The sequence below is a fragment of the Homo sapiens genome, chromosome 14 (assembly GCF_000001405.40).
Source record: "Homo sapiens chromosome 14, GRCh38.p14 Primary Assembly".
Lineage (NCBI taxonomy): Eukaryota > Metazoa > Chordata > Mammalia > Primates > Hominidae > Homo > Homo sapiens.
Window position 1 is genome coordinate 95,874,213 of NC_000014.9, and position 22,063 is coordinate 95,896,275.

The 22,063-nt window shown below is 50.7% G+C and overlaps 1 protein-coding gene across 3 annotated transcripts in view, besides 2 other annotated features; it reads left to right on the forward strand.

Annotated features, from left to right (window-relative positions):
• Nucleotides 1–2,235: 2,235 nt before the first annotated feature.
• Nucleotides 2,236–22,063, forward strand: part of TUNAR (transmembrane neural differentiation associated intracellular calcium regulator) — a 49,124-nt gene continuing 29,296 nt past the window's right edge. Inside the window, exons 1-2 of one of the 3 annotated variants that reach the window (NM_001416132.1) lie at nucleotides 2,620–2,965; nucleotides 21,599–21,731. Coding sequence is in view for 1 of the 3 variants with exons in the window: in NM_001416131.1 (NP_001403060.1) it covers nucleotides 2,954–2,965 (12 nt within the window). In the remaining 2 variants the exon portion in view is untranslated. Of the gene's footprint in view, nucleotides 2,328–2,619; nucleotides 2,966–21,598; nucleotides 21,732–22,063 lie in introns of those variants that run through there. The other 2 variants (NM_001416133.1, NM_001416131.1) reach the window with 2 other exon arrangements.
• Nucleotides 12,118–12,897: an enhancer, noted in NCBI's record as "H3K27ac-H3K4me1 hESC enhancer chr14:96352667-96353446 (GRCh37/hg19 assembly coordinates)". NCBI's record gives its function as "activates a minimal SCP1, AML or CMV promoter by ChIP-STARR-seq in primed H9 embryonic stem cells {active_cell/tissue: H9 hESC(primed)}" and the evidence as "EXISTENCE:reporter gene assay evidence [ECO:0000049][PMID:30033119]".
• Nucleotides 16,950–18,149: an enhancer, noted in NCBI's record as "MED14-independent group 3 enhancer chr14:96357499-96358698 (GRCh37/hg19 assembly coordinates)". NCBI's record gives its function as "activates an origin of replication core promoter dependent on BRD2, BRD4, P300/CBP and CDK7 cofactors, and independent of MED14, by STARR-seq in HCT116 cells {active_cell/tissue: HCT116}" and the evidence as "EXISTENCE:reporter gene assay evidence [ECO:0000049][PMID:35650434]".

A 22,063-nucleotide genomic window follows, 5' to 3' on the forward strand; every position in this document is an offset into this window, starting at 1 on the left:
ACTCCCCACTTCCTATTATTTGAGAAAAACATGAAGAATGAATATGCAATGTAGGAGTCTTCCCTGCTGCCTTTTTCCCCATGCATACACACACCAATAAAAGATGTATGTGCCAGCTTTTGCTATGCTTAAACAACATTTTTCAAATCTCTGCAAACCATGAATGAGACACTTGTGCCGTCAAATCGCACTTCCTTACAGGCTGCTTTGTTTCCTGGAATAGTGGGACGCATGGAATCCAAGCTCTGAGGTTTCATTTATTGTAAGCACTGGGCTCCCTGACCAAATTAGGTGTCAAACTCTACCTGCAGATTGGGAAATTGGGGCTGAAGAAAGAGCCGGCAGCCAATTTGGCACACAGAAATAGTTCTTCTGGAGTTTCTGGGGACCACCTCCCTGTCTGCAACTACCCATAATAACTGGTTGGGAAATTCAGAGATATTGCTCCCAATTTCGCCGGAAAATGTTGGAATGCAACTGTTATACACAGGCTGGGATGCAAAGTGCTTTTCTCAGAAAAGTGTGGCCTTTGGACCCTGGTTTCTTAAGACACAGGTTTCTGTTTCCATGGACTTGCAGGGTTTTTCAATAGGAGTTACTGGCATCTCAATAATAATAATAATTGGAGGAAATGTCTTGTCACTAAGCCAACAAAAACCACTCAGACTCTGCTGTTTCCCAAAGCCCCTCATGGAGGGACTCTGTCCTGTAGAGCTGCAGGGCTGGGGTGTGGGTGTTCCTGGGCAGGCCTGATTCCCCTAAATCTCTGCTGAGTCTCTCCTCTGCATCTTTCTCCCCACATCCATACCATGAGGAAGACAGAAAGGCCAGCTAGGGAGGGTATGGGTTGGTGTTGTGGACGAGGTGGTAGGTGATTCCTATTCTGTAGCAGGGATGGGAGGGAAGCAGCCTTTTGGTAGGCAGGAGGATCTTCTGAGAAGTAGGGGCAGAAGGTTCCTTGCACCATCCAACTGGGGAAGGGGCACAGCGGTGGGCCCTGGGAACCTGCTAACCAGGATGTCTGGGTTCTTCCCCCAGCTCTGCTTCTGAGGCACCCAGCAGACCTGGGCAATTTGCCTCCTCGTCGATAGAGACCATGGTCGCTGCTTGCTCTGACCATGTTTCCCGGCACTTGCCTTACTTCCCTGGACGTTGGGGTGGATTTTGGTGAGGTCCCAGAGAACCAGGAGACAGGCTGCTTATCTTCTAGAAAATCATGTTCACATTCATGGAAGGCCTTAGGTACTAGTACTTAGCTATGACCTTTGGAGACAAGGACTCCATCTTCCTGAAGACGTTAAAATGTCCTGTGTACTGAAAGCAATTGGAGGGGCCTGGATTTGAACCCCAGTCTGTGTCAGAGGTCCCAAGTCTTCCAAGAAAGTGGAAGGCGCCCCGAGGCAGGTTAGAGGGCCTACAAGGCGGGCAACTGGACATGGGGATGGGCTGGGGAGGCGCCAAAGGGCGGCAGGGATTGGGGGTATAGTGGTTTGACCACGACTTAACTACCTTCAGCTGCCAGGCCATCCGCCTGTTCCCTGGAAGATATAAGGAGCTGGGAGTGGGGAACGGAGCAACCTGGGCTTCCATGATGAAGAAAGAGACAGCGCAGGAGCAAAATGTCCAGGAAGGAGGGAGAGAGACCAGAGGAAGGAGGAGGCGCCTCTTTCACCCGCGTCCCCAGGTCCCCATGTACGCCACGTGGGTGGGAGCGTGTCCCACACACCCGCGCGCCCAAAGCCACATTCGCCACGCTCCCGCCGGGGCGGGCTCACCGCGCGCCTCTGGGTGCCGAGCCTCCACAGGCCACATAGCCGCCACCTGCTGCTGCATCCCCACTGCGGGGACAGGGGCACTCAGTGCCTCCCTCCGTCCCCCCCGCCCCGCGAAGGCCTCCCATCCTCCAGGGCCAGGCGGAGGCCACGTCTTTCCCGGGCCCCCTCCCCAACGCGGAGAGGGAAGCGGAGGGAGGAGCTTGGCCCGCAGCCGCCGGCCCTCCCCGCACTGGAGCTCCCCCTCCCCTCCCTCCCCGCCCCTCGGCTGCCGCAGCCCGGCTCGCAGCGCGCGTCAGCGGGGGCTCCCCGGAGCGAGTCGCTAGGTAACGGGGCTGGCTCCGCAGACGCGGGGCCGGGGAAGCCCGCGCGCGTCATCAGCAGCGGCGCCGCGGGGCGGGGGGCGCAGAGACCCTCCCCAATCCCGGCCTGCCACCACCTGGCTCGCGCGCAGCCCCGGCCCAGAATGCCTTAACCTGCGCCGATTGCTGCCGCCGAGGTGCCCCTCCCCTGTAGGGACCCCGACGCCGCCAGCCCCTTCCTCCTTTCCCGCAGGTGCGCACTGCTGTGCTTGCGGCCGGGTGGGCGCCCCGCCGCTGCGGTCGCGGTCGCCGCTGGTAAGCTGCGCTCTGGGGCTTGGGGCAGGAAGCAGTGGGGGGCGCTCGAAGAGCAGGGCAGCTACGGCCACCGTGGCCGCCGGACCGGCCATGTGCTAAAGTTTCTGGGGCTCGGCGCCCCGCTGGGCGCGCAGCGCGGGGAGCAGACGCGCCGTGGGTGGGGCAGCGCGGTGCTGCTGGCGCCCGGCCCCCGCGGGGTGCAGCTCTGCGCGTTCTCATGCTGTCTCTCTCTCTTTCCCTCCGCGCTGCCTCTCCGAGGTCCTCCCGCCGAGCCCCGGCGCGGGGCATGAGGAGCCCCCGGGTGCCGCCCAGAGACCAGCAGGCTGCGCGCACACCTAGCCAGCGGCAGACGGGGACATGAGCAGCGCGCACGGGGTCCCGCGCCCGGCGGCCAGCCCTATCCGGCGGCGGCCAGCGGGTCAACGCTGCCCGGGAGAATGAGGCAGGAGCCGGCGGCAGCCTCCTTTTTTTCCTTCTCCTCGCCTTCCTGCGGCTCCGGCGCTCCGGGTCCGGGCCGGGCTGCGGCTCTGCTGCGTGCCCCGCGCGCCCCTCAACCGCCTCCGGATGCGCTTCTCGGTAAGCCAGGCCCTCCGCCTCGCGAACAAAGCTCCCTTCGCAGGGCCCGGAGGCCGCCTCAGGGCCCCTGTCCTACCCTCCTTCCCCACTTACAGCCTGGAAACATTCGGGGCTTCCGATTGAATCGTTCAATTTCCCCTGCCCCGAAGCCCCGCCTGGAGGCTGAACTGCCCGGGCAGACCTGGTGCTTTCTTCTGCCTTCTGGAGAAAGATGTGGGTTTGACATGCAGGCGGGAGACCTGTCTGGTCTAGATAACGGCATGTGTATGCAGCTAGGTTCAGACTTAGCATTTGGGGGCAACAACTCTTATTTAGTGGGTGTCCAGGCCGTGCCGGGCAGTGTGCCTCAAAGCCGCTCTGGGAAATAGGTCCCCGTTTCTCCTTGGCCCAGATGAGGAAACTGAGGCTTAGAGAGGTTGAATGACTTAATCAAGGTCACAAGGTTAGGAAGTGGGAGACCAGGATTGGAAACCAGGGTACCCTACTTCCCTGCCAGACTGTTCCCTTTGTAACAAACACACCTGTCTCATTTCTTCTACTAACTGCTTCCGTCTCGAGAGTCATTGCGTGTGTGTGAAAATACTTGCTCCAATGAGTATCTGTTCTGATGAAATAAATTGCCTGTAGCAAGCACTTTTTGTCCATCCTGCCATCACGCTGCTGCCAACCCCTAATGTGTACTCTACTTTTTAGTTCAGGTGAGAGGATAATATGTTTTCCTAGGTGTTCTCTTTCCTGGGGTTCTGTTTTCCCAGTCCTCCTGAAGGATGGAAAGGACAGTGGTTCCTCCTGTGTGCCCAGCACATGCTAGGCCTCAGAACTGCATCCTTAACCTTTCCCTGGGGGCAGGGCTCATCAAGGTTACCTGCCCCTGGTTTTGTAAATCTTGGAGATGATTACTTAACCGGAGCGGGGGCTGATCCCAGATGGCCACTGTGCAGGGGCTGGCCCAGTGTTGGCTCATATTTGCCAGCCCTCAGTGTCAGCAGAACTTCTGAGCCCCAAACACTTCTGAGCCCCAAAGAAAAGGAGTTTTAATGCAGATACGATGCCTGATGCATGCCCCCAGTTCTCTGGCTTGCCGCTGTTAGCTGTTTGCTTAAGTGCATTTAGTTAACTGTTTGCTTAAGTGCATTTAGTTAACTGTTTGCTTAAGTGCATTTAGTTCCTGAAGGGGCAAGCCACCTGGAATCAATTGATCCTGGTCTGAGGGGCTTGTTCCATTGGTGAAGTCACAGTGTTGAGCTCAGTTGTCTACACGTACATTTGTGTTGGTGCAGAGAAAGTCCCTTAGCAGTAGGGGCCTCTGTGTCTCTGTTAGTAAAGAGCAAGGGTGGACTGACCAGCCCTTCAGACCCCCTTCAGCTAAATGATTCTGAGTGACAAAACTAGTAAGTTACAGGCTTGAGCTAGGATGTCTTAGTCCAGTCATTTGGACGAACATTCTACACTGAATGGGTTGTTGATTTCCAAGAAGAGGACTTGGTTTCCAGGGAGCTGTGAGATTCAGGTTCAGCCCAAAAGAGGTGAAGCTCGAGCTGTGCTTAATAGATTATTTACTGGGCTAACACATAGTGGCTATAAAATGTTCCAAGCTACCAGATTGGGGTTGTGGGATAGGTTAGGCCTTTCAGTAGGAGAGATGACATTAGCTCCTAAGAACTGATGACATACAATGCATTAAGAAGATGCCCAGCAGGCTAGAAAGCAGCAAGCTGGTGAGCTTTTCCTGCCCCTCCAAAAATAATCAATCATATTTGCATAGGTAAAACATTCCCAGCACAAACAATTACTGCAAATAAATAAAGTGATTTTTTTTTTAGACTCTTCCAACTGCATTGTTTGCTGAGTATATTAGCGATGCGTGGAGCCGGCCTTAGCTTGGCTGCAGAGGGGCTGGGACAGGGAAGGTGGGCTGAAGGATGTTCAGACCCTGAGTTAGTTTTTGGCTGTGGATTAGAGCTAAATCCATCACTTTGACCTATGGGTCGTTAATGGGGTTGTCATTGGTCTTTTTAAGATGTGGATTAATGAACCTCTTAAAGTGTTGCCGAATCCCAAATGAAACGGGCATGTCCCACCTTTTTCCCAGAAACTCGGCTCTCAGCGGGTTTTGTGACTGTTTGAAATTCACAAAACCAGAGCAAAGCTTTCATTTTTGACAGGCTCATAGGGATCTGCAAAGGAAAAATAATGCATCTTATGTAGGGATATTAATCTCCCAGCATTGTGTGTTTTAGCTTCTCATGATTAACTGGTAAGGTTTTGAATAAAAATGAATGCAGAGAAACAATCTTCATTAAGTTGCTTTTGAAAATGCTGAGGTAATTATGAAATAACGATTTTTGTGTCATAGATCATACTACTCATAGCCAAAGCTGGATTACATCACAAAACATTACTCTTGTTACTGATATTTATTTTTTAATTCATTAGTTTTCTCATATTTTTTGCCTTTTTTCTCCCCGTGTGAAAATAAGCCATCGAGAATAAATTCTTCCTTTTCAGTTTTTCTTTGTCTTAAATCCAGTTTTTTTTTTTCTGTAAGATCTCTAAGCTGAACTCTTCCACACCATACATATAATGGCCTCATGTTAAAATATGTTTTAAGTGCCTTGGATTTCTTTTGGGAGAACAAGAGGGTTATGTATCGTAAGTAAATAACAGTGATGAGACATTTCCCTTGTTTGCTTACTCTTCTAAGTCAGGGCTTGAGACCATGCCCTCATGATTGCAGCTGCCACACTTAGCATCATGGGGACACAGCCTGAGTGCTGTGGCATTTCTGCATCAGTGAGGATGCACACCTGGACTGATCGGAGTGTGAGGAAAACAACAGCTTCCGTAGGCCAGGAAACCTGGGGTTTATTCCCGACTCAGTTGTTCATTGGCTTTGTGGCCTTGGGCAAATTATTTCCATTTGCTGGGTCTGGGTTTACATATATGCAATGGGTGTGTACGTTTGCATGTATATGTGTGTGTATTGGTACCAGATATTGCCCTCCAAACTCTAAGTTTGAAGAATCCTCAAAATTTGGGTATAGCTGGTTATTAATACCTCCAGAATGCTCTGTACTTTAAGGTTACATAACGTTCCAATTAGACATTCCTATAAACAATAAGAAATTGGTGATTATAGAAAATATGCTGTTTATTACCCTAAGTGGAGACTCCGTACCCTGAGTGTGTGAAGGAGGATGGAGCTTTGATCCATCCTGATTATGCCGGCTTCCCTATCAGAGTCCCCTTGCACGGTAGAGGCTCAGCACAAATCTGAGAGCACTAGAATGAGCCATGACCCTCTCTAGGATCCATGTGGCAGAAGATGCAAGAACTATTATGTAATTTGGGTCAATGGGGTAAGAAGACTATGACATTCTATCTGTGTAGCTTTAGGGTTCAGGGGACTTGGAGATTCCGCCTCAATCTCAGGCTGTTCCTGGAAGGTAAGGAAGGGGAAGTATGTAATTTGAAAATGGAGAGTACTTTAGTTAGAGCCTTGAACTCAGCTGAAGCTGGGAAATGGTGAGGAAGAAGCTTGTCAGTTTGGCAGTGGTATTTTTTGCCAGGTTTTGTGTGTAGGCTTCCCTTGTAACATCTAAGGAAGTGTGTTGTCTGAGGTCAGGCTCCCTGGTGAAGCTGCAGTCATTTTCAGATAGAGAGGGCATGAGAAAGGAACCACCAGCCCTTAAACACTTTGTCCTTGCAACTCTGCAAAGTAGACATTGTGAACCCTGTGTTCTAGATGAGGAACCCAGGCTCAGAGAGCTGAAGTGTCTTTCTTAGTCTCTAATAATTATCGAATGGCAGAACCATGCAATGTTTTAAATGGACTCTGCTGGGGTTTAAATCAACCCGTGCTGGACCTCATTTCCACTGCTACTGCAGTGTGTCTGTCTGGCAACCAAATTGTGTCCTTCCTCCCCAATTTCTAGATAACCATGGCACTAAAAAAAGCATGCAGATGATTTGACGTAAGTAGCATACGGAGGTGATTTTGCTGTCAATAAACCTCTAAATTCACCAGGATTTTTGTTAATGCATTAGATTTCTTTTAACTACACGAGGTCAAACATGTCGATTTCCAAAAAGATTCCTAAATAAGCCAAGTGTAACCCTAACAGGGTTAGTGCTGGTGATTCTTTGGGAAAAGCTAAAAGAATTCTCCTGGGTCCCACATTCATCCCCCTGGGGTTCTGTGGGAGGTGAACACAAACTGATGTATGCGACGTCAGTCTGAGGAGTTGTCGCTAGGCTGCTCCTCCTGAAAAAGGGACACAATAAAAGTTATGTAACAGCTTTCAAAAGAACTGTTTCTCCTCCTCCAGGATGCCCATGAGTTAATCCTCCCCCAAACAACAGACTAGAGAAGGTATTCAGAGGAACACATGTAAGACCTTCACGGTTCACCTACAGCTCTTAGGAGTTTCTGGGACTCGGGAGGAAATGTAGGTCTCAAGGAACTTTTCACGTTATCGAGTAGAGATGCCGTCGTAGCTGATGTTGGGGACGGCCTTCGGAAGGTCACCCATGTGAGTATAGCTGCTGCTGTTCTTCGCTGTAAGTGTGCAGAGCTGGCCAAGCATCCACCATTCCCAGGACCAGAGATTCCAGAGTCCTGTTGGTAACACTCAATTTACAAAGAGCAAAGGAAAATCCCTGAAATACTCTGTCACCCCATTGCGTGGCTTTACATTCTGCTAACGATACTCAGGCTGGGTTTCTTCACCAGCAGTTGAAAATGCTTCTGTCTCTGACGCTGGCCTTGCCTGTGTCATGTGAGTGACGTCTTCACCAACAGACCCCTCCTTCCGTCTCCCTTGGATCACTGAGCTGCTTATATGCCAAAAGCTTCAAGTTTGTTGATAGGTGATGAGAAAAATTAGACAGAATGAGTTAGAAAGCTTGACTATGCTTCATCTACAATCTTTAAAATACCACATCTCAGCAGTCAGCACAAGTTTTTGATTTGGTAAATGAGGAATAACATTGCGTGTCCTCGGTGCGGCCCATGGAATCTGCATCTTCTGCCCCCAGACTTTGAGAGAACAGGTGCCCCAGGGCTTCAGCTCTGGGCTAGATTTCTAACATGTGTAGTTACTAAAAAGTAGAAAATGCAAGAGTAGCTTTGCAGAGTCACCAGAGAGGATAAGATAAGAAGACAGAGAAGTTCATGGCCTCTGATACGTGATTACTGCGAACACTTATTCAGGGCATGGTAGTAGAAATGATTTCACACCCGTTTCCAGCAACGAGAAGCACAAAATAAATTCACTAAGAAATTTAGCTGTGTTTCTTGTTGTTTTTGTATGTGGCTTATGACAAGTGCAGATGGCACTTCATGTAGTTAAAAACCTTCGCCTTCCTAAGTCCTTCGTGGTGGCTAAGAGAGGCTAGGCTAAATGCCTTGGCAGACCTGCATTTTTGAAACCTGACTCCCAAGGTCAGGTGGTGGTCTTGGTGAGGGTCAGTGTATTTCCAGGTGCTTCTGTTTCTTAATAATCTATGATGAGCTGCTGTATGTACCTCATTTAGCATCACCAAGCAAAAGAGCAAACAGAGAATGCCCAGGGCATTTTTCCCAACCTGCCACATTTCTCCGCCTCTATCTGCTAATATGGTCTGGGGATCCTGATCCACTTCTTGATTCTTTTAATTCAGAAAATGGATGATAATGACAGTCATTTTTTAAATGATCAATATTGATAAGTCTTATATTTTTAAATAAAGTGAATGCCCCTGAGAGCATCACGTGCAAGTTTAAAATGATTTATGAATGGATACAGTATCCTTTAACTTGTTCAGAGGGCTTTATTGAATACTTCTAAAACAGTACGTCTATTATCCTTTAATTTGTTCAGAGGGCTTTATTGAATACTTCTAAAACAGTACGTCCAGTTTTGCAGTGTTCAAGTCTAAAGGTAGACGTGAAAACCACATCCTGTGTTCTTCATCTGAAAAGGAGGAGTGGAAAAATACACCCGACTTCTAAAAGGGAATGTTGAGACTGTTCCTCTCTGTTTTACTGACAAGATAACATTGCTTCGGTCTGAAAATTCTCTGTAGATGCATCTTCTACAGCAGGGCTGGTTGTCCTCCAGTCTGCTCGAGGACATCCCTGTGGCGGTTGAGAGTGGCTCTGTCCATCTGTGCAGGCATGGAGCTGTCTCCTCCACAGAGCATGCCTCTCTCTGGTCCCGTCTGGTTACTAGGATCCACCCCCCCAACACACACCATCATCCTTTCCTCAGACAGATGTCAGGGACAACAGTTTAACAAACAGTTATGGAGCACTAGCTCTGGTCCAGGCACTGCTAGGCATTGAGGCTGCAGTGGTGGACACAGACAGCTGTAGTGTGTCATAGGCTGCTACTGTTTCAGTAGGCCTGGGGCGTCACCCTCTGCCCTTTTTAAGGGGTCTGTTCAGAATCTGGAGGATTTAGCTGTTGCATACTTGGAGGCACGCTGGGGCTGGTGGGGAGAGCCCAGGCTGGGAGGCAGGGGGCCTTCTCTCTCCTCTCACCTGGGTGCCTAGGGCCAAGCCACCCCCCCGCCGCCACTCTGACCCTTCACTGGTTTCAAGTGCAAAGATTGGGTCACTGCAGGTTTTTTCCAAGTGTGATCCAGGGACCACTTCCATGGAAACACCAGGTGAGCTTATTAAAATGCATATGGGTGGACCTTGCTGCAGACTTGCCAAATTAGAACTCCTGGGGATGGGGGTGCCCAGAATCTATATTTTTAACATGCTTCCAGGTCGCTCTCACCTTGAGCACAGTGGTGTTCAAGAAGCACTGGTTCTCCTGGGTGTCGAATCAGTAATGCCCCTCCCTGCTCTAAAGGACTCAGAATGTGGCACTCACCCCCATGCTGGCCACTCTTCCCACCTTCACCCACCGCCGTGCTGTCCAAGCCAATCGACTCTCTCTTCACCACGCTTCCCGCTCCTCCTCCTCTGTGCACTACAGTTTGTTTCCCGTATGGTAGCCAGAGTGAGCCTTTTAAAGGATCTCATTTCTCCTTGGCTGGGAGAGCTTCAGTGCCCCCTGTGCCCAATAGTCAGGGACCTTAAGGTGACCCTCAGGGCCCTGCACGATCTGGCCCTCCATCTCACCTCCTCTCCCACCACCTGCCCCCTTGCTTCCCTCTTCATGTCACAGCCCTAGAACCCACCCAGCTGCCAGGCATTCACTCCAAGGAGCCACAGGACCTGGGGACTGGCAAGGCAGGGTGCCAGCCCTGGTAGGTGGGGCACAACCCTGTGAAGCTCTGTTTTCTGTCTTGCCACTATGCTGAAAACCCCTGCAGACTGACACTCTTAAACCCACTTGGGCAAATCTGTTTCTGGGCCTGCCCACCACCATAGTAAAAGTAAATTTAGAAGCAGCTCTTTAAGTCTAGGCACCGTGTTACAGGGTGACTCATCATGGGACTGCATTGTCAAAGTGGCTCTAGAACTTTTTTTCGAGGAAGTTTCTGGATATAGACTGCAACCCTCTTGGGCTGGACTATTAACTCAGCCACTTTTGATCCCAGGGCCCTGTCATCCCTCCTTGTCTTCTTTCCACAAGTATTCACAAGACACCTGCTACGTCCAAACACTGCGGTCCCCACAATCTGTGTCTGCGTGGTTGTATCTCCGACTGCCGCTCTTGCTTACAGATGAAACAATGTGGTCTGGAAAGTATTTCTCTGGCCTTTTTTTTTTTCCCTCCTACTGAGAAATAGTTGCTCTGGCCTGTGTATCAACAGCAGCCCTCTTGGGGCCTAGGTTAAGCAAACTGCACTCGAAAGGATCAATCCCTTGGCAAGTAGGAGGGAAAGATGGACCATGTTGTGAGATTAACCTCCAAGGCGAGCTGAGTGCGTAACTGGAAGATCTGTGGGGTCTCTCAGATGGGATGCGTGCTCAGCGCATGGGGCCAGGGCTTGGTTTTCTGAAAGCCAGCCTGCCCAGCAGTGCAAATGAGTGAAAAAGGCCAGGAAAACTTCAGATGCTTTTGGGTCTGACATTGCAGATGCCTTACCTTGAATCGTAAGGAGGGAAGCATTTTCACGCTCAGCATCAATCTTCTTTGGGATGCTTTCTCTGGACATATTGACCAAGCCTTCACTGAGAGGCCATTAGCAAAGTGGGGTGGAGGATGAAAGTAGAGATGTTCCCTGCCTTTTATGGTTTCAGAGACAGTTGGGGAAAACGTGTTACGTAACTACCTGTAGCTAATTAGAGTGACTGACGTGCTCTGAGAAGGCAGAGATAGGAAAGATGGGTTTGGCCGGGGGAGGGTGGAGGCGTTTGACTTGAGCCCTGAGAGACGAGAAGGAATTTCCTGAGCAGAGTTGAGCGGGAAAGGCCTTCTAGGTAGGAGGGCAAGTGTGAGCAGAAGCACAGAGGCCTGTTTATTGGGGAGAGGGTACTGTGTTATAGGTCTGTAGAGTCAGGCTGAGGCTGCAAGGCAGGGACAAGGCTGGGTCACTCCTGCTTAGATGGGAGTGGGTCTTGAATGCTAGATTAAGGAGGGTTCCATGTCTTACAGGTGACAGGGAACTGTGGGAGGGGTTTGACTCAGGATTTGCATTAAAAAGATAGCTGGTAGCCCTGTTCATGACCCCCTGTACCCTCTATATTATAGGATAGTGAAGATGTGTAAAACGTTCAAGAAGAAATACTGTGTGGGAATGAGCATGGTTGTCCCGGGTGTAACCTCAGGCACCATTTCTCTGATTGCAGTGTCTCTGCTTGTCTGTATCTGTTGTCTGATCCTCTGGGCCCTGCTGCCCAGACCCCAACTCCACCAGCCCTGCTGGGGCTCGGAAGGAAAGCAAGGTAGCCGCTGGCTTCAGCAATTGCTGCCCAGCCATCGTGGACTCTAGCCAACAGGAAATGGAGCGGGCAGTGTCCCAGCCTGATTCACCGAGCCATGGGTCTCCCTGTGCCTCTGCAAATGCATTCAGGCTGCTCCTGGCCTAAAAACAATGCTCCCAGACCTACATCCACAGCTGAGAGAATCCAGGGCACACATTTGCCCGCCAGCTTCCCTGAGCTTCCCCCAGCAGTGGGCTCAGTGGGTAGGAGAGGGGGACATGGTCTGGAATCAAGGCGTGTGCCACTCAGTGACCATTTGCTTTGAAATCAATGTGCTCAGCAGGGCCAGTGACTTTTGCAGAGCTGGCTGGACAAAGGGAACATGAAGAAGGGAAGAGTGTCTCAGGGTCACGGGTGGTTATACTACCCTTGAACTTCACCTTCCTATTGCTAAGGAAGAGAGAGAGACAGAAAAGCATGTTCCACAAGCCAGTGGGCAAATTCTTAGCTGTTTTCTGTGGAGTCTGGGCCTGGCAGAGAGCCCTCTTCACGACTGGCTGACTGCCAGATGGTGCCAAGGGCACGGCATCCCGGGCAGTCAGCCTCCTAGTGAAGATTGCCATCCTCTGGAGGGTTCCCTGCCCCAGGACATGGGCCTGGGAAGGGAATGCAATTCCACCCTCCATGGGTCCCATTTACAGGTCAACAAATTGAGGCCAAGAGAAGAGAAGTGGAATTGTGGCCGAGTAGCACATGAAATCACTCTGGAGTCGGTCATGATCCCTGAGGCCGGCCAATGCCCAGTGCCCATTGCTGGCAGCAGTCCACCTGGAAATGGACAGTTTGTCCTCACACTGCCTTGCTACCCACCAGGCATGGAGGATGTGGCTTTCTCCTTGTTCATCTGTCTTCCCTCTTGGAACCCAGGCCCAGAGCCAGGGGGCTGGGCATGACCCCTAGATGTCTGGCCTTTTGTTTGCTTCTTGGTTTCTGAAGCTTGTGTGGAAGTTGAATGCAAGCAGAGAAAGGAATTTAGTAGCAAGTTATCAGAGCAGATTAGAATGGTTGTCAGGATCTGGGCATGGAAATCGATGGGGCTGAGTTCTCTCTTTGGAGCTCTAGGGCTCCTGAAACGCACCATCAGGTCCTGGGAAAGCCTTTCATCCTGGTTCTCAGAGCACCTAGTGCACACTTACGTACATACATAAGTTTAAGCCAAACCATCTCATGAGATCATCATCGCTGGCTCCATCTCTTTCTTTCAACTGTCTCTTCCCTGGATCCTCAGTACCTGGGGTGAACCTTGCTTGGCACCTGGAAGTCACTCCTGGCCTGTTAGTGACTGGATGGGGGATGCAGTGTGCAAAGGGACTTGTGCAGCGGTCAGTCTGGCTGAGCTTTTGGGGCAGCCTGGTGCTCCTGACTGTTTCTCACCTTATCAAGTAGGTTCTCCTAAATGCATAAGAAGCTGATGACAGCTCTGCTGGCTGACTTCAAAACAGTCAAACCTTCAGTGCTTTATCAGGCAGATCTGTAAGTACAGTTCCTGCTCATAAAATGCATCCGTCACAGCCCCGTGCAACATAAAGGAATTGTTTGCAAACTTTCCCAGGTTATTACCCCCAAACTTAGTAAATATATGTATTGGATAAATAATCTTGGGAGGTCCATAAATTATTGCAGTTTCGGACAGTACTAATCTACCTGCTGGCACATTTCATAGGTTTCACCACCTTATTGACTCACATTTTAATGAAAGAGGAGAGCAAAGCTATAAAAACTATCCTCATGGGTTGGGGACCCGACCAGATGATGGATGACAAAGCAGTGTAGAAAATGTATGAGTTCTGTGTGGTTATTCAGGGTAATTATTATTAAGACATTTTGAGCATCTGACCTCAGTTCCTTTTGTTTTCCTGGGCAAGGACCTACTACCTCCCAGATTCTGCTGCACTTGGCTGGCGGCACTCTGTGCCTACAATCTCACCATTGGAATGGCAGTTCTTCAACAGGATTTTGATGGCTGTCACAGTCACTTTGGGGGACATGCACCTTTTATTTGAAGCTGTTCTTCGAGTCAGATTGTGAGGCACTGGACAGACCTGGATTGAAATCTGAGCTTATCCTCTAATTCCCTGTGTGATTCTTGGACAATTTGCTTCAGCCTTTATGAGTCCTGTTTTCTCTTCTGAGAAATGGGCATAATAACAACAATTAATGGTAATCCCAGCTTTGATTAATATTTGCTGGGTGCTTACTGGGGTAGGGACCCTGTGCAATAAGTCCTTTCCGTGGACTCTTTCACTGAATGTGTACAATAGCTTGATAAAGGAGTTAATTTTATTATTCCCATTTTACAGATGAAAATACTAAGCCTTCGAGTATGTATTGGTGCATACAAAAACACCTCAGATAATGGTTTTGAACATGAATAATCATTTATTTTGCTCAGCTAGGTGGCCTTGCTGCGGGCCTCATGTGAGGTTGCAGTCAGACTGTGACTGGGGCTGGAATCATCTGGGAGGCTTCCTCACTCGCATGTCTGGCCCCTGAGTGAGAAGGGGTGCACAGCCTGAGGGTGGGAGTGGGGAGGCTGGCACAGCTGAGACTCTCCATCGCTCTGTGGACGCTCCGTGTGGCTGGGTAGCCATACTGCCTACCTGTAGTCTAGGGCTCCATTGACCCAAGAGAGAGCAAGAGGTTGTAGTGCGTGGGGGTGTCTGTCTCTATCCTCTTTGGTGATCGAGCCTCAGAAGTCACATAGTATCACTTCCGGCATGTCCTTAGAAGCAAGTCTCTAAGGCCAGCCCATATTCGAGGGGATGGGGGGGGCAGTTAGACTCCATCCTTTGATGGGAGGAGTGCCGAAGGATGCCAGTACGTTTGAAGCCACCACGGAGTGCTTAGGTGACTTACACAAGGTAGACCGTTGCAAGGCAGCAGAGTGGGGTGTCGGATCCCGAGCATGGCCGTCACCCCTCTGCAGTGTAAAGTGTGAAGCACTACGGGCCCCGTGAAACGGGACCTCTGTAAGCATGTGAGCTGTTTCCCCTTCAGATGTCCTTTCTGAAGAAGGAAGCAGAGCTGTGTGCGAGTCCAGCTGCTGCTTCTCAGCTTCAAAGAGGCCTTTATACCAACCCTTGGGGCAGACCACCTCCCCTCCCCTCCCCTGCTGTCCCTGGCCTCCCTTCCCTTCACCTGGAGCCACATTCTCACTTTCTTGGGTCCTGGGCAATTCTGTTTTCATGGGCCTCTTCCACCATAAAAAGAAAAATTAAAAATTATTTCTTAGGACTGAGCTGATATAAAGATGAACATATTAATGTTACATATTAAAAGATTTTCTTCTACCCAGAAGTTCATTGTTTTCCTTCTGATTTTAAATTGGAACATTTCTGTGGGCCCTGGGCACCGTGCCTGCTGCATGTGAAGGAGAAGTTGGCTTGCCCTTCCACCTCCACCCCTCACCCCCTCCTCTCCCTCCCCCTCCTCCTCCTCCGCCTCCACTATTCACTCTTCTGCCCTGGCCACCACTTAGCAGGCTGCTGTCCTCTCCTAGGCTGTGAACTTTCAGGTTCTCTGCACCCTGGGCAAGCCCCGTGACTGGGAGCTGACTGCTCCCCGTAACTCTGGCTTTCCTGTCTCCTGGTCCTTCACCAAGGGTAGACCTCCCTCGTGAGGAGGAACTTAAGCAGAGACTCATCTTCCCTGTAAGCCCACGGAGCCGTCACCCCTGTCTGGCTTCTGGCTGGTCTCTCATAGCAGAGTACCGGAAGGGCCTCCCTTCCTGTGCACCTGCAGGGGTGGTGGCAGTGCAGAGATGGCTGCTCTCCTGGCTCCTGCGTCTGACACCCCAGCCAGCCCATCCATCCGTGAATCCTCCACTCAACCATTTAGGAAACAGCTTTTTACTGGTGAGCATTTCACGAGGCCTACCTAGTCTCCTTCCTCATGGAATTTAGAGGGACACAAAGACAAAAAAAAAAAAAAAAAACTGACAAATGATTCTAAGCAATGGGAGATTTTTTTCCCCAAGGGGTGGGGTCTCACTGTGTTGCCCAGGCTGGAAGGCAGTGGCTATTCACAGGCGCAGTCACTGCACACTACACCCTTGAATTCCTAGGCTCAAGCACTTCTCCTTTTTTAGCTTCCCAGCAATGGGAGATTTTTTTTTATAAGAAATTGGCATTTCATGGAAATCGAAGCAAGAAGTGTAGTCTGGCTTCGTGAAGGAGAAATGAAGCCATCAGCGACCAGGATGTTTTCCTTCCTCTCTGTCTGGAGCCCCAGGTCTCACCATCTTGTACCCTTTGTCTCTAACCTTCCTCTCCAACTTCAGGTTTTTCTTCTCGTCCTCTGAGCATATGGCCAAACAATGGTCACCCCAGTATGGCAGCCCCAACCCTACATTTGTGTGGCCTCAAAGCTCACTCCATCTCCCCGGGGCCTAATTTCCCAGGAGAGAAGTAGAGTGGCCTGGCTTGGTGAGGAGCCCTCTGCTCTAAACAGCTGTGGCTGGGAGGTGGTGTCACATGGTAGGGAAAGCTGTCCCTCGAGGCTGTCACTGAGACAGGCTCCCCAGGTAGGGTGTGCAAGAGGGGAGAGAGAAATAGCACGTTCACTACACCTTTGCCTCAAAACCAATTCTGGTTTAGGGTGGTGGTTGCCAGCCTTTTGATGTCCACAGAAGAGGATATTTGTTTAGTTGAGAAATTGGTATAAGATTGCCCAATTTTAATCTGCCCTCTCTCATCAGCATGTGATAAATAATTTAGAAAACAGGAAGACCTTAATATTAGAATCGTGAAAGTATTTTAAATTTGTTCATTAATCAAATTAATCAAATGTAATTAAATTAATCAGAGTATTCTTGGTTTTCCCATTTCACCCCTGACAGCTGAGACTTTGGTCACAGAGCTGAACGGGTCTGTGGGCTTACACCGGGACCCACAGCACTCGGAGTCCTCAGAAATCATTGTTAACAACAATAATACAACCCAGACAGCAGCAGAAAGAATCGACCCGTGTCTGGAGCCTGCTGAAGTTGGGGGGCAGGGAAGCGACATGATCTAGTCTGTGATTTAGAAAGATAGCCCTTCGGCCACGTGGAGGTCGAACTAACATTCGCAAATTAGAAATCTGTGTTGGCAAACACTTTTAATTAGAGCAAATGTTTGGCATATGCAGACACACTCAAAGTGACTGATTTCTGAAAGTGCATCCCCATTCGGAAGCTAGAGCCAAGGTCCCACCTGCTCGGGGGTTTTCCCTGGAGCTTGAGAGGAACCTTTCACTCACCCACCTCCGAGTCTGAAGACACAGGCTGCCAGCGGTTGTGTTCATGACGTCAACTTTGACGGTTGATTCCTTTTTTGGAGAAAACCACTGGCTTTTGGAATAATTTTCGCCCTCTCTCCACAAGAGCCCTGCGATTCATATAAGTTCTGTTTATAAAACCCCTTCGGGGGCACAGGTCAAATTTAGCAAGTCTGGGATAGGGCAAGGCTTACTGGCCCAAAATGGCAGATGAGGAAAAAGGCTCAGACACCCTCAGGAGCCTGCCCAGGGCCACACGGCTCCTGAGAGATGGTGCAGGAATTGGACCAGAGTCTCTGCTGCCAAGTTCATCTCCCTATTACTATACACTCGCTACACATGCAGTTGGGAAGCTGTTCCTGATCTTGGCTCTGTTGTCTGTTACGTGTCCTAGCTGGGTGCTTAGTCTTCTAGGGTTGCCATAACAATACCAAAAGCTGGGTGGATTAAGACAACAGAAATGTATGGCCTTGTAGTTCTGGAGATGGGAAGCCTGAAATCCAAGTGTCAGCAGGGCTGTGCTCCATCGGAAGGCTCCAGGGCAGGATCCCTGTCTCCTCCCGGTTGCTGGTGGTTGCCTGCAATCCTTGGCATTCTTGCCTGTAGCTGCACCACTCCAGCCTCTGCCCCGTCTTCCCATGACCTTCTCCCTGTGCATCTATTTGTCTGTGTCCAAATCCTCTATTTTCCTCTTATGAAGACATTAGTCATTGGGTTTACTCACCCTGACTCATGTGACCAGATTTTAACTTAATTGCATCAGCAGAGATGCCATTTCCAAACAAAGTCACAGGTACTAACAGTTAGGACTTGAGCATATCTTTTGGGGGGACACAGGTCCCCTATGACACTGAGACGCTGCCAGGGGGCCCCTGGTGGACCACACTCATACCCAGAAGGTTCTGTGCCTGGTCAGTGTTCTCCCATCCGTGGGTTCTCCTCAATCCCCTGCTCAGGCCCATGAGATGCTTCCAGTAGGGGCTGTGCTCATGAGTCCCTCTGCCAGGAGGGACATGAAGTCAGCTGCTGCCAGCCTGTGGACGGATTGTGCCGCTTTCGCATCTGTCTGAGATGCTGCAAGTGCGTGGCCTCAGTGAGTGGGTGGCAGTGCGAGCACATTGTGTGTTCCGGGGAGCCGGGCCACCTCCGGCTGGATGTGTCGCCTTCCTCAGGGCTCCTGGCAGCACCTGGTGCATTACTGGGTCAGGGTATCATTTTGACCTCAGGGTGGCTGAGGAAGCTATGTTTGGGGAAGTGGCATGGAGCTTAGACATTCGAGCTGGCCTGATTCTTTTTCCCCACCAGATGACAAGCGTCTCTAGGGCAGGGATGCCTGGCCATCTCCATTTCCCCTCCAGCAGTTTCAGGCTCATGGGAGCTGCCATGTTTCTGCAGCTTTAGTCCCACATTGCTGTGACCCTGTGAGGCTCCCCTGGGCAAGTCTTCACTCTCTGAGCACCATGCAGGGCTGCTGTGGGGTTCCATGAGATGATGCATTTTAAAACCATGCACGACTTGAAATGCCCGCAGCTCTCATTATCTGGGAGATGCCTCAGGACAAAGTGGCAGGACCTGATTGAAGAATAGGGTTGAAGACAGCACCTCGATATGTCTGGCGGTGCAGGGATAGGTGGCCATGTAACCCCAGTGGGAGCCACTTATAGGAAAAGGTGGTAGATTTGGGCAAGGAGGTGGCCCCTCTGAAAACCTGTTGCAGTTTCAAGTGAATTTCTGAAGACGCGTCAAGTTTTAGATCTACTGAGTCTGCAGTGACCATGGCCAATGGGATGGGAAAATTTTCTCACTAGAGGAGACCAGAGAGAGGGAACACGGACTCTCCAGAGAGTTTCGTGAGGGTCCCTGCCAAGGACTAGTGGAAACCCAAGCAGTTGGGGACAGGGATAGTGGGAGAGGTGGGAGGCCACCTGGGATCTTGGAAAAGAGGAAGCTTCCTTTTTGCAGCATGGGAGGCAGCCTGGGAAAGTTAGGGTTGCAGGATGGGAATCCAGGGTTTCAGGAGGCAGGAACCTGGAGCAACCTGACTGGGCAGTGCTGTCAGCAGACCCAAGAATACTGACTGGCCTGTGAAGGAAAAGTTTGCTGCAAAGTGGAATCGAAAGTGACCAGGGGCCAACAGGGAAGGGGCCGCCCTCACTCCTTATGGCTCTAAGGGGTTGGGTCTGTTCTCAGGTTCTGCGTGTGTCCCTGATTCCTGAAGCTACCTGGATGCTCCCTGAGAGCAGGAGCTGCTTCTGAAAGACCATGGATCCCCCCCACCCCACTCCCCATCAAGCAGCCAGCAGAGTGCCAGGGGCATAGCAGGTGCTCATTTAACAAAAATAGACAAGACCCGTTGCCAGAGACAGCTTTTGCTCAAGTGCTGGAGTTCTCAACCCAGCTGTCTATGAGAATAACCTTCCCAGGAGCATTTGAAAAATGCTCATGCCCAGGCTCCTCACTTTGTATTAATGATGCAGTTGGTCTGAGCTGGAGCCTGGCACCAGGCATTTTCAAAGCTGCTCATGGACACTGCATTGTTAAGGTTCACCACCAGCTCCGAATTGTGGCTGCACTATGTGGGCACATGCCCGGTCTTTCTGGGCCTGTTCAGTCATTTGCAAATAGCCTTGCAGAAATGTACATGGTGGGTCCAGTGTGTGCCTGGCACCCAGAGCCACTCTGGCTAATGCTGATTCAAAGTCGCAAGACGATTTTGCCCTGTTTTGGTGGATAGCTCCCCTGTGGAGATGACTGCTCAGGGAAACTGGCAGATTTCCAGAAGAGGGAAGAGGAGCAGCCATTGCTGATTGGATCATCCAAGCTGGGTTAGCGTCTGGCTTCGAGCACTGGTTTAAGGTGAGCATTAAGGTCCCGTGGGATGTTGAGAGTGTTTGAGGAGAAAGAACACATCTCCTTGGTCTAGATCTCCTTTCAATGAAAAATGCCATTTTGTCAGAAATTCCCCTCTTTTGGGATCAGGCAGTGCATTTGATGTTAACGAGCTCTCATTGAACACACGCTATGTGCTGCATTTGTGCAAGGGCTTGGGGACCCCCTAAATGAATTAGACAAATTAGACAGTCATGCCCTGTTGGAGCCCAGTGGCTTTTGGGTCCCCGTTCCCCAGGCACCTTAACCCAGGACAGCCACACTAGCAGGAGGAGGGCGGGGAGGGAGAGATTCACACGTGAGGATCAGGATTTGCGAACTTGCGGAAGAGTGTGGTTTGCGGGGCCCCTGGCAACAGTCCTGCTTGTCGAAACACTTTTTTCTTGGTGTAAACTGTTCCCAATCGATTGAGAAAGAAGATTTGGAACCAGGCCCATGACCTTCTGCAGGTGCTGAGCTGTAGGTCTATAGATTGTTGGAATGTTACATAAAACAAAAAGCCCCTAAGGCCATGCCTGGAAGAGCAAGCTCTCCCACAGGTCAGCCTCCTTCTCTGCATATTGCACAGCTTCAAGAGATCTTAAAAGAAAGGACTCTTTTAAGCAAGGGTCAGATGGGATTGGGATGACGCACAGGGAAGGTGTAGATGCGGTTGCAGTGAAGGAGAGAGTGAGGACCCAGAGACCTCCTGTCCTCAGCCACAGGTGGCTTCCTCTTGGAGTCCACAGCATGTGCATATTGGTGCAGGGCACTGCGGGATGGAGTGTTCATCCCAGCCACACGTTCCTGCTGGGCACCACCTCTCTCCTGACGATAGGTTGGAGCTGAGGGCACAGAAATGGCCAAGGCAGGGAGTCAAGCCAGACAGCCAGCATCTCCAGAGAATAGTGACAGATGTTGTCTGCCAGGTAAGTGCAGGAAGTGCAGAACCTGCCTTGAAGCTGGACGAGGGTCATACAAGGTGTCCCAGAGAGGGGACATCTGAGCTGCATCTTAAAGGAAGAGTAGCAGTTAGCTATGTGCAGAAGGGCAGTCCAGGCAGGAAGAACAGATGTGTCTAACCCAGGAGGAGAGCATGGGCCAGCGGGAAGGGCAGGAAGCTAGGACTGGGCAAGATAGAAAGATCTGCCTGCTGGTTTGATAGAGTGAGGGAAGTGTGGGGCCCTGTTTTAGCTCCGTAGCCAAAGACCTGAGTTCCAGCAAATCACACATGTGTGCATGTTGTTAGAGTGTGTGTGGTGCGTGTGTGTATGTGTGGGTGTGCATGCATAGGAGGAAAGGGAGCGGAGAGTTGTCAAATGAGGCAAGCCAAAACCCAGGCAGTGGGATGGTCATGTTAGCATCTGTTTTACAAGGGAGTTCCCGACGCATCCTCCAGGATCATGGTTCGCTCAGCCTCACATTGCTACAAAGTGGGAATTTTACCAATGATTTAAAGCCCTTCCAAGGGCTTCCAGGGTCTCTGATCTTCCTGGCATAGCTCTCTGGCATCTTCCTCACCCCCAGCACCCTATGCACCAGACCTTGGGAAGGTGTTTCCGGCCCATTTTTTTCTTGCTTTGAACCACAGCACGTGCTGTTGCCCCCACTGGAACACTCTCCCGCTTCTCTTCCTCCTTCAGATCTCAGCCCGCTGTCGCCTTCTCTCTGACCCTGGTCCCTTCCACTGCAGGCTGTTGCTCCGGTGTCTCTGGGCTGCTCCACCACGTGGTGCCTGCCCATCATGGCATCCACCACCAGGTGGCCTTTTTCTTGGTAAGTTCCTTACAAAGCAACATGCTTTGTGCACCTCTCAAATCTTCAACACCTAGCGTGGTACCTGGCCCCAGGTGGGCACTTGGTCGCATATTTGTTAAATTATTGAATCCTTGAGAAAGCCCAAGCTCAGCAAGGTTAAAAAAACGTTTCTGCCAGTGAGTAATAGAGTGGATATTCAAACCGGCCTTCTCGCTGGCCCCACTCCTGTGCACCTCTCACTGCACCTACCCACCTGCTGCCTTTCCTACCGATCTCAACGATTATGCAGTGAGCTGTGGAAGAAATGGGGCTCAGAGTCCGGTCTTCTAGAAGGTGGGCACTGGAGTGAG